General features: G+C 36.1%; 1 protein-coding gene across 1 annotated transcript in view; it reads right to left on the reverse strand.

Moving 5' to 3' along the window:
* USP34 (ubiquitin specific peptidase 34) overlaps positions 1–12,788 on the reverse strand; it is a 283,625-nt gene that overhangs the window by 113,421 nt on the left and 157,416 nt on the right. The window contains exons 26-29 of the mRNA NM_014709.4: positions 10,901–11,027; positions 10,657–10,804; positions 471–571; positions 68–277 (exon numbers count right to left, since the gene is read on the reverse strand). Coding sequence (NP_055524.3) covers positions 68–277; positions 471–571; positions 10,657–10,804; positions 10,901–11,027 — 586 coding nt within the window. The remainder of the gene's footprint in view (positions 1–67; positions 278–470; positions 572–10,656; positions 10,805–10,900; positions 11,028–12,788) is intronic.

Genomic DNA, 12,788 nt, shown 5'->3' on the forward strand with positions numbered 1-12,788 from the left:
TATTAAAGTTACTATATCCTCTCAACAGAGACACAAAACAAGATTTGTGAAAATGAAACATAGTCACCTCACTATCATCCACTGCCACTTTTCCTGAGGGTGGTTTAAATGATGCAAGCATCTCTAATAAATCAAAAAGAGTAGTTAAATGAGGCTCTTGTAAAAGCAAAAGCATTGGAATGTTGTCCTTCTGAGGGGGTGGGAGGCAAGATGCTGGCAGCTGAACACCTTCCCCTTTCCGCTCTCTCCTTGGTGCACCCAAAGATACAAATACCATCTATAAAAAACAGGAAAAAAAATTTATGCATATCAAGCTTTTAGTTTAATAAAACGGTAAATCTGAAGTATAGAATCACTTAAAATTTTAATATAACAAAGCAATAAGAGCTGTTTTTAAACTACATCTGCGACTATTCAACTGATGATTATAAACAGATCATTAAAACTCAAACCACGTTTTATATATGTACCTGCATATCCTTAAAACCAAGCTCATGAAGTGCTTTTTCATCATAATCTGTTGTTAACTCGTGTCCAGATGAAATCATCCTGACAGGTCCCATGAGGCCTCCTTAAAAACAGCAAAACATGGAAATGAATTTGTTTTTAAGAATTAACTTACTTGCTGATAAGAATATGTAGTTGTAGCAATTAAACACACTGTATGTTAAGTTTAAATGTAATCTAAGGTAAAGACAGAAAACTCAGTAGATTGAGGATAGTTATTTCTAGAATGCATTAAGTCCTTTTAGCTGCCTACACCTTCAACTTCATTTCCCACCATCTTCCCTATCTCACACTATGTTCAGCCAACTGGCCTCCTTGCCCTTTCTTGAAAATAACAAGTATATTACCAACTCAAGGACTAAGATTTCTCTCCAGGAATTCAAGATACTTATTTTCTCACCTCTTTCAAGTCTCTCATCCAATGGGAGCTTTTTCCTTACCGCCCAATCTAAAAGCTTCACTTCACCATTAACCCTTTACTCTCCTTTATCTTTCTTTAAAGCACTTGTTAACACCTCATATTTGTTATCTGGGAAGGGATGGGAGGGTGAGGAGAAAAAAGAGAGGGAAGGAAAGGAAAAAGGAAAGAAAGAAAGAAAGAAAAAAAGGAAAGGGAAAAGGAAAGGAAGACTGACAAATTCCCAGTTCCACAAGGGCAGAGGTGTTTTATTCACACATGCATGCCAGGCACTAAAATGGAGAAGACATTCAAATTAAGTATTGTATAATGTACAACTTTTTCGGGAAAAAAAATGATTAGAGCAGGAAAATTAAGCAAAATTAAATGTCTGATGAATAATTTAAACTTTAAAAATATTGCTAAACTTCATTCAATATAGAAAAACTCCACTGAACAGACACTAAACAATTACTTTCAAGAAAAATGAGTGGGGTAAGGCTATCGCTTTTCATAATGACACATAACATTTTAAAATTACCTTTCCCTTCACATAATAAAAAAGGTTTGTGGAAAAATATTTCAAACACAGAAGGAATATGTTTTTCTTCCAAGACGAGTCATATTGGCAATTTGCCTTAAGCACAATTTTTTTATAAGTAAATTGCTAATCATTGTGTAGCTAAATCTATGATTCTTTCCCTTTCTCATTATTTCTAGCCCTCAATCTTGGCCCTCAAAATGGTTTGACAAACGTTCAATCCTATTTTCTTCTAAATTTTCCTACCATTGTTAACACAGATACAACATTTTAAACATATCCTAAATATTAGAAAAAGGGGTTTTTCTTTCCCCAAACTGAACAAGTCATATATGACTAATTTTCAGTATCCATTCTATATCATTTAACTAACAATTCCCATACCAAAATCAAATTATGGTTTAATGTTTATACAGCTAGTACGGAAGTTCAACTTTCTATTATCCTTTTGAATTTTTCTCCCAGGACTTTTTTGTTTTTTCTTTTTTCATAAAGTGCCAATTTACTGACCTCCCAGAACTTATAATATTGCTTAGTTTATTCATACAGATAACTTCACAGTAATTTCATCAAATTTTAAACAAAAATTACATTGGAATTACTGATAGAACATTTTAAAAAATAAATTTACCTAACATCTTTACAATATTCTGTACAGAGACATGCTATTTCAATTTACTCAGATGTTCGCTTATCTCCAAAAGTTTTATTCTCACATTTTACAAAGACCTCATATTATTGTAAGTTTTTTTTTTTGAGACGGAGTGTCACTCTGTCACCCAGGCTGGAGTGCAGTGGCTCAATCTCAGCTCACTGCAACCTCCGCCTCCTGGGTTCAAGCAATTCTCCAGTCTCGGCCTCCTGAATAGCTGGGACTACAGGCGTGCACCATCACACTTAACTAATTTTTGTATTTTTAGTAGAGACGGGTTTCTCCATGTTGGCCAGGCTGGTCTTGAACTCTTGACCTCCGGTGATCCGCCTGCCTCGGCCCCCCAAAGTGCTGGGATTACAGCCATGAGCCACCACGGCCCAGCCAGAATATCGTAACATCTTAAAATTGCTATTATATACTTGATTTAGTGTCCTATTCATCATGTTGCTCACAAATTATAACTGAATAATCTAATAGCGATACCATTTTATAGTGTATTTTACTTTATTCAAATCATTTTGTATTATACAAAACCAGAAGAAAAGTAAATGCTTATGAAGCAGCGTATTCATTAGGAAAAGCTTTGGCTACTGGATGGACAGAAATTCTGTATTAAACTTTTTTTTTTTTTGAGACAGAGTCTCGCTCTGTCGCCCACGCTGGAGTGCAGTGGCACAATCTCAGCTCACTGCAAGCTCCGCCTCCTGGGTTCACGCCATTCTCCTGCCTCAGCCTCCCAAGTAGCTGGGACTACAGGCGCCTGCCACCACGCCTGGCTCATTTTTTGTATTTTTAGTAGAGATGGGGTTTCACCATGTTAGCCAGGATGGTGTTATCTCCTGACCTCGTGATCTGCCCGCCTCGGCCTCCCAAAGTGCTGGGATTACAGTGTGAGCCATTAATACTTTGGTAGTTTTTTTGTTTTGTTTTGTTTTGAGGAGTCTCGCTCTGTCGCCCAGGCTGGAGTGCAATGGCATGATCTCGGCTCACTAACACCTCCACCTCCTGGGCTTAAGCGATTCTCATGCCTCAGCCTTCCAAGTAGCTGGGATTACGGGTGCACACCACCAGGCCCAGCTAATTTTTGTATTTTTAGTAGAGACAGGGTTTCGTCATGTTGGCCAGGCTGGTCTCGACCTCCTGACCGCAAATGATCCGCCTGCCTTGGCCTCAAAGCCTTGGGATTACAGGCATGAGCTACCACGCCTGGCAATATTTTGGTAGATTTTTATTAAATGTCTAACTTGATGAGACAATTAAATGTAATGATTGATATTTGCAATATTAAAACACTCTCAGTCATGATTAATTGCTACTCTAATAAAGCATGCATAACTTTGTTCCAAAAGAGAACTGCAATGACTAGCAATTTATTTAGCATACTGGCCTGTATTTGATATGAGATAGGCCAATATTCTATGTGTTAATGACAAGTGTTATGGTTTGAATATAAGTGTTCCCCAAATCTGTATGTCGAATCCTAATTACCAAGGTGATGATATTTGGAGGTGGGACCTTTTGGAGGTTATTAGATATCAGGCAGAGTCCTCCATCAATGGGAGTGGTGTCTCTACAAAAGAGGCTCAAAGGAGCTTGCTTGAGCCTTCTACCAAATGAAGACACAGCAATAAAGCACTATCTATGAGAAAGCTGTCACTTGACACTGAATCTGCTGGCACCTTGATCTTGGAATTCCCAGGTTCCAGACCATGAGAAATAAATTTCTTTTGTTTATAAGCTACCCCATTTATGGTAGTTTTATATAGCACGCTGGATGGACAATGACAACACATTAATGTTGACTATTATGGCTGAACTGGATTTTATAATACATTGAGCTGCTTTCTATCTTTTACTACTTTTGAGAAGATCTTTTTAACATAATAACTGCTTATTCTTTATCAGTTCTAAATAGAATTTCTACCTTTTAAAAAAAATAGCATTTCAAGACAAAATGAAATCTCAAAAAACTCTTGATTTATAATTGAATACTGAAAACACACGTCATTTTTCCCCTTTACAACTCCAATAAAATAAATTTTAAAAATTTTACAGACGTAGGACGGGTGTGGTGGCTCACGCCTGTAATCCCAGCACTTTGGGAGGCCGAGGTGGGCCGATCATGAGGTCAGGAGCTCGAGACCAGCCTGGCCAATATGATGAAACCCTGTTTCTACTAAAAATACAACAATTAGCCAGGCGTGGTGGAGTGCGCCTGTAGTCGCAGCTACTTGGGAGGCTGAGGCAGAAAAATTGCTTGACCCCAAAGGCGGAGGTTGCACTGAGCCGAGATTACGCCACTGCACTCCAGCCTGGGCAACAGTGCGAGACTCAAGAAAAAAAAAAATTTACAGACATAAACTGACAAGGAGAAAAAAAGAAGAGATCATACCAACAAAGTATGCAAGATGACCACAAAATAAACTTGTGATGAACAGCAAGCCCCGAAAAAAGATAAATCCCAAAATGATTTAGCATAAGAGTAAGATCAACATCTAACACTCACACACAAAAAAACAAAAGGAAGAAAGAAAAGGAACAGTGCCTTAGAAATCAGCAACACCTTAACCAATAGCATAGAAACATTATAGGCTCAGAAATTAAAAGGTTAAGGAGAGAAGAAAAAGAGAAAAAAATGAAGCACTATATAATTGCTAACCTTTTCTAAGTTTGATAAAAGTTATAATCTCACAGATCTAAGAAGGTAAACTAAACCCAGATCTCAAACAGAAAGAAAGGCAGACTCATAATCAAAATGCTGAAAATCACTGTTAAAGAAAAATCTTTATATCCTTTTTTTTTTCCCCGTCGTTGGCTGTAAAGGACAAAAGATAAGGAAAACCACCAATTCAGGTCACAAACTTTGCAAGCCAAATAATAACAGAACAACAATTTTAAAGTTCTAAAACAGAAGTGTCTGTTCATATCCTTTGCCCACTTTTTGATGGGGTTGTTTTTTTCTTGTAAATTTGAGTTCTTTGTAGATTCTGGATATTAGCCCTTTGTCAGATGAGCAGATTGCAAAAATTTCCTCCCATTCTGTAGGTTGCCTGTTCACTCTGATGGTAGTTTCTTTTGCTGTGCAGAAGCTCTTTAAATAGATCCCATTTGTCTATTTTGGCTTTGTTGCCATTGCTTTTGGTGTTTTGGACATGAAGTCCTTGCCCATGCCTATGTCCTGAATGGTATTGCCTAGGTTTTCTTCTAGGGTTTTTATGGTTTTAGGTCTTAAGTCTTTAATCCATCTTGAATTATTTTTTGTATAAGGTGTAAGGAAGGGATCCAGTTTCAGCTTCCTACATATGGCTAGCCAGTTTTCCCAGCATCATTTATTAAATAGGGAATCCTTTCCCCATTGCTTATTTTTGTCAGGTTTGTCAAAGAACAGATGGTTGTAGATGTGTGGTATTATTTCTGAGGGTTCTGTTCTGTTCCACTGGTCTATATCTCTGTTTTGGTACCAGTACCATGCTGTTTTGGTTACTATAGCCTTGTAGTATAGTTTGAAGTCAGGTAGCATGATGCCTCCAGCTTTGTTCTTTTGGCTTAGGATTGTCTTGGCAATGCGGGCCCTTTTTTGGTTTCATATGAACTTTAAAGTAGTCCAATTCTGTGAAGAAAGTCATTGGTAGCTTGAGGGGATGGCACTGCATCTATAAATTACCTTGGTCAGTATGGCCAGACACTTCTCAAAAGAAGACATTTATGCAGCCAAAAGACACATGAAAAAATGCTCATCATCACTGGCCATCAGAGAAATGCAAATCAAAACCACAATGAGATACCATCTCACACCAGTTAGAATGGCGATCATTAAAAAGTCAGGAAACAACAGCTGCTGGAGAGGATGTGGAGAAATAGGAACACTATTACCCAGTTGGTGGGACTGTAAACTAGTTCAACCATTGTGGAAGACAGTGTGGCGATTCCTCAGGGATCTAGAACTAGAAATACCATTTGACCCAGCCATCCCATTACTAGGTATATACCCAAAGGATTATAAATCATGCTGCTATAAAGACACATGCACACATATGTTTATTGTGGCACTATTCACAAGAGCAAAGACTTGGAACCAACCCAAATGTCCATCAATGATAGACTGGATTAAGAAAATGTGGCACATATACACCATGGAATACTATGCAGCCATAAAAAAGGATGAGTCCATGTCCTTTGTAGGGACATGGATGAAGCTGGAAACCATCATTCTCAGCAAACTATCACAAGGACAAAAATCCAAACACCGCATGTTCTCACTCATAGGTGGGAATTGAACAATGAGAACACTTGGACACAAGAAGGGGAACATCACACACCGGGGCCTGTCATGGGGTGGGGGGAGGGGGGAGGGATAGCATTAGGAGATATACCTAATGTAAATGACAAGTTAATGGGTGCAGGACACCAACGTGGTACGTGTATACATTTGTAACAAACCTGCGCGTTGTGCACATGTACCCTAGAACTTTAATTTAAAAAAAAAGAGTTTATGAGACTTGGATGTTAATAAGGACTCAATCTCATGATTTCCTTTTTAATAAATAAGAGTTTATAAGACTTGGATGTTAATTAAAAAAAAAAATAAAGTTCTGAAAGAGGATAAAAAACCTCATGACCTAGAATTTGATGTCCAGTGAAAATATCCATCAACAATGAAGGCAAAATAAACATTTTTAGAGAAACTTTTTTCTAGACAAAAAAAGCTTGAGAAAATTTGTCACCAGAAGACCGAGAGTACAAAGCTTTAAAGGAAGTTTATTAGAAAGAAGGGTCTGAAAAGGCCGGGCGCAGTGGGTCACCCCTGTAATCCAAGGACTTTGGACGGCCAAGGGGGGAGGATAGCTTGAGACCAGGAGTTAAATAACCAGCCTGGGCAACATGGCAAAACCCTGTCTCTACAAAAAATACAAAAATCAGCTGGGCATGATGGCCGGCACCTGTAGTCCCAGCTACTCCGGAGACTCAGGTGGCAGGATCACCTGAGAACGGGAGGTTAAGGCTGTGGTGAACTGTGATTATGCCACTTCACTCTAGCCTGGGTGACAGAGTGAGACCCTGTCTCAAAAAAATAAATAAATAAAAACAAAGTAACAGAAAGAAAGGGGGAAAAGAAACAAAATAGAAACTCAGATCTGTGCACAGGAATGAAAAGTGTCAGAAGTGCTAAATATGTGCTAAAAGAGAAAATGAAGAGATGGGACAAACAGAAAATATTTACATTGAATGCAAATAATCTAAACACTAAAATGTAGACACCAACAGAATGAACAAAAAAAGCAAAATTCAACAATTAAGAAAAATGTTAATCTCAAAAAGATTTCAACTTTAAAAATAGGCATATTTTTTCAGAGAAAAAAGAGCTCTTAGATATTAAAAGCATGACAGTAGAAATGAAAAACTCAGTAGAAAGACTGCAAAATAATGTTGAGAACATCTCTCAGGAACTTGAGTTAAAACTTAAAAAGAAAAAAGAAACATAGAAAAGATAAATTAGGAAGAGTCTTACAGGCAAAACATCTAGATAATGGATATGTTCCATAAGGAGAGAAAATGATAAAATACAATACAAGAAATCTATGAACCATTTCAAGAAAATTTCTCCAGACTGAAAAATATAATGTGCCAAACTGAAAGGGTCCAGTGCTAAATACCTAAACATGTAAATACTGAAGCACCCATCACAATCATTGATAAAAGACCTATACTCAGGCCCAGAACACTAAGAAAAAAGTGAAGACTGATTAATGTCTGTAAGAAAAAATACTACATGTTGGCTGGGCATGGTGGCTCATGTCTGTAATACCAGCACTTTGGGAGGCCTAAGTGGGCAGAAAGCTTGAGCTCAAGAGTTTGAGATGAGCCTAGGCAACATGGTGAAACCCTGTCTCTACTAAAAATACAAAAAATTACCCAGGGATGGTGGCACCCACCTGTAGCCCCAGCTACTCAGGAGGCTGAGGTGGGAGAATCACTTGAACATGGACGTTGCAGTAAGCCAAGATCCTGCCACTGCACTCCAGCCTGGGTGACAGAGGGAGACTATCTCAAAAACAACAACAACAACAACAACAACAACAAAAGATACACTGCATGTAAAAAGTATCGGAATTCAGAATTCAACAGCAATGATGAAAGCAAGAAACAATGGAGAAGTACCTCTAAAATTGTGCAACAAAATTATTTCCAACTTAGAATTCTTTACCCAGCTAATTTATCATTTGGGTATGAAAACATGAGATACATGTTTAATGATGCAAGGAATAAAAAACATTCCTCTGTCAGTTTTCTCACAAGAAACCACTGAATAGAACACTCCCTGTACTCCAGAAACACACACACAAAGACAACCAATAACGAGAAAGGTATGGATCATGGAAACAGAATATCCAACACAGGAGAGAAGAGAATTACCAGAAGGATGATAAAAGATATCACACAATCACTGCTGTGCACCAAATTTGAGGACAATTAGTAAGATCAGTGTGACTTTGGAAAAATGCATTGAGGGTTATCATGACCAAGACCCCTGCTGCCACTGTACTATCTTCTCTATGTTACAAAAGAATGGACGACGAATCTGGCCCAGATTCTTATTTGTACTTGGATTGTCTTTACCAAGTGCTAGTGAGATTCCTGCTCTCACCTCCATGTCCTACTGCTTGAATCAGTAGAGGACATCCATTTCATCCTAAAGAAGAAATTCTGCTTTGATCTACTCCTGAGAGTTATGGTAGATCATGAAGAGCTTAGAAAAAGAAAATACAAATTCTATGAAGATACTACTGTTGGATATTCCAGTATTTTTATCAACATTTTAGCAATAGGATGTGTCTTAACTGCGCTGATACATACACTTGAGAACCTTCCCACTGATATCCCCAAATTAGGCTGTATACATCTGTAGGGAAGGTTTATAACTTGTCATCTTCTGCAATCCTTTATCTAATAGTAGCTACATGTCCCTTTTTCTTTATCCACTAGGTTTGTGGTTGCCAAACTGTTTCACAAAACTAAATAAAAACATACATGGAGGTAAGACTATAAAGAACACTAAAAAAACAAATTCAAAAATCAAGACAGTGTTAAGGAGAAGTGGAAATGATGTTATTGGGTAGGACACAATACTAGCTTCTACTAGTGTTCTAGTTCTTAATCTGGATGGTAGGTACGTGGATTTTCACTTTATTATTTTCATACACTCTACGCACAATATATTTCAACCTAACCAAAGCAGATACATTTGGATCCAGAAATTCCATAATGAGGTATTTATCCAACATACATGAAATAATGTAGAGACAAAGATATTCTCTGTCACATTGTTTGTAATAGCAAAATAATGAAAACAATCTAAATGTCCATTAATAGAGAACAAGAAAAATGAATCAAGTTATTACTATATAGTGAACTATGCAGATCTCAAAAAGAATGAGGTAACTTTCTACATGAACTAACATGAAATGTTTTCTAAGATAATGATATGCCCTACAAGCAAACAGAACAGTAAAAATAGAATTCTACCATTTGTGCTTTAAATATATATATACATATACATCTATATAGCACATATATATGTATATATATTCTTACATTATATCTTGGTATCTCTGGAAAGAGATAAGAAACATATATATTAAATATCAGATATATACCTATAAAAGATATCAGAAATATATATATACACATATACATATACATATATATATATTAGGCCTACATGAAAAATTTCTTAAGATACTTTTGGTAGGCAAGGAGAGATGCACAGGTGAGACACGAAGGTGTGTTATTTTTATATTCTCAGAAAAAATGGAAATGTAATACATGAAAAAAACTATTGGGTTAAAGTGGATGAGTAGTATATGGAAATTTAAAGTTATCAAAAATTCCCAAATTGCTTATGAAATAAATTTCAAGAAGTTTTTTATGGTCACATCAAAAGTCTAAAATAGAATTTTTTGAGAAACAAATGAAGAATTTTTTGCAAATAGCATCTGAAGCAACTCTCAGCATCTTCTTACCTAAGAATCAATGGTACTAAAGGGAGGGGAGGGTGAAGGGAGCCATGAACATGGATGGTGGACCTTCAAAGTAAAGGTTCAAAGTTGCTGCTATGGTTTGAATTTTTTTGTTCTCTCTGAAAATTCATGTTGAACATTAATCTCCAATGCAACAGGTTTTAGATGTGGGGTCTTTGGAGAGGCCATGAATGAATTAATGCCATTATAAAAGGGTCTGATGGAGGGAGTCTGTTCATTTTTTACCCTTCCACCCTCTGCCTGTGAGGAGGCAGCATTCAAGGTGCCACTTTGAAAGCAGAGAGGAGCCCTCACCAGATGCTGGTACCCTGATCTTGGACTTCCCAAATTCTGTTCTTTACCTAGTCTGTAGTATTGTTACAGCAACACAAGACAAACCAAGACAGTTGCTATATGATATAACCAAGAAAGAAAAGAAAAGGAGAATAAAAGAAAAGGAAAGGAGAAAAGAGAAAGAGAAAGAGAAAAAGAAAGAAAGAGAGAAAGAGAAAGAGAAAATTTGAATTGAAAGGCTTACCAGGAAACTCTCCTTTTCGGTTGCTTTGACCAAACTCCTGAAGCTGAGCTTGTTGATTTATTTGTTCTTTCTGTAAATTTTCATACCAATGAGTTACTTCAGCCCTAAGATCTGCTACCTGGTCACTAGGATACATTTCAATAGTCATCTGAAATATGAGATGCAACCAATTTAAAAATACAAAAAGAACAGATATTTGACCTGGGAAATGTTATCAACTTCGAAATTAAAACTATGTAAGTACCTTGTCAGGAAGTCCAGCTGGCTGGCATACAACCCTTAGCGGCAGAGACTGTTTGTCACTCAGTGCTTTCAAATGACTACTAATACCAGTGCCTTCAATTTGCCACTGTCTCAGATGATATGCAAACCTAAAACATGACACAAACAACACATAGAAAGGATACCATTTTAAACCATTTTAATGTTACGCAAATTTTTATCATCTTACAGACTGGAAAAGTCCAAAAGAAGTTCTAAGTTCATTCCAATGTATTCTACAGCAACAAATTTAAGTTCAGATTCATCATACTGAATCAAACGTAACTGCATAATAACAGCTAAGAGCTCCTAACAAAATAGTCACCACGAGAAATTACTGAGGAAAAAAAAAATCTCCTTAAGGCCAGTTTATTATTTTTTTAATAAAGAGAGTAGAAATATTAATAGGAGAGATAGGAGGAATTAAAAAAAAAAAACTAATCCAGCAAATGAAATAGCAAGCTGTGATTCCTGCATTCAGAAGGAAAAAAGATATTAAGAAAAAATTTTCAGGGACAGAAACATTCTGGTAAATATATACTAACGAGCCTAATAGAATTTGAGAGTCAATTCATGGCTGTTAAAATTATAAAGTGAATTACAAAGACTTGTATTTCAAAGGAAACAGGCACCTAGCATGATAATCACTAAACACGTGTCAATTTTCTAATTTTCAGATGTGGAAGACAGGATCCAAGGTACCTGAGTTTAAAAAAAAAAAAAAAAGTCTAAAACTAATCAGCAAATTTGGAATAGAAGGATAAAAAGTGAGGGAATGAATGAACTTGTCTAATTTCCACATGATCCAATGTATGAGCAAAAGAGTAACCTTAAAACAATGTTTCCTGTTACATATTCAAGACCAGAGTTTCTCCACAGTGGCACTACTGACATTTTAAGCCCAATTAATAATTTGTTGTTATCAGAAGGCAGAAGAATAGGGGTGAAGGAGGCTGTATCTCATGCTCTGATGTTCAGCAGCATCTCACCAGATACCAATAACATGCTCTCTTGCTGTGATTATCAGAAGTGTCTCCAGGGATTACGTACTATGTCTTGGGAAACAAAAACACTTCTGGCTGAGAACCACTGTTTAAGATTATAACTTTATCTCTTTTTAAAAAGTAAACAAATTAAGACATTATTGTTTATTCCCTTAATACACAGAACACAAAGAACAATTATATTTTCAATCTACAGATGTTAGGCAATTTTCAATTAATAATAGCACTAAGCACATCAAGAACAAAATTTTGCATGAAAAATACCTAAGTAAATTTTTTTTAAACTACTGCTTAGTTTTGTGACTCTTCAATTTTATCCATATCCTAGTTATTGTACTAGTAACAAAAAATTTTTATATAAACTATTTAACATCAACATTAACTTTTAGCATAAAACATGAACAAATAAAAAGATATCAAGGACATAACAATTTTTTTTTTCACAACAGAAAAAAATTTGTACATCTGAGAAGGAATTTTTGGACTTAAATTCATTAAATTTATAAAACCACCACTGAATGCTCAAAAAACAAATACATTTTTAAAGACTTAAAATAAGCACTTATTTTAGACATTGGTAATGCTGTGCAAGGACTAAGGGTGTGAATCAACAGGACCTTGTTGGTTTGTTGAAGATCCCACAGCATAGAAAAAATTTTAGAAGTATGGGTATCATTAACAGTATCTCCACGAGGAAGACAGAAATTATAGCAGACTTTCATTTTCTACATCACAGTGTAATATCTGAATTTTATAATACGTATTAATTAATTTGAATAAGTTACACCACATTTGCTCTTTTTAAAATTTTATTTTTTTAAGTGGTTAAAGTTATAAGGCAGTAAGAAGTTTCTGTGTAAAAAAATG

This window comes from Homo sapiens, chromosome 2 (genome assembly GCF_000001405.40).
Source record: "Homo sapiens chromosome 2, GRCh38.p14 Primary Assembly".
NCBI classification, from domain to species: Eukaryota; Metazoa; Chordata; class Mammalia; order Primates; family Hominidae; genus Homo; species Homo sapiens.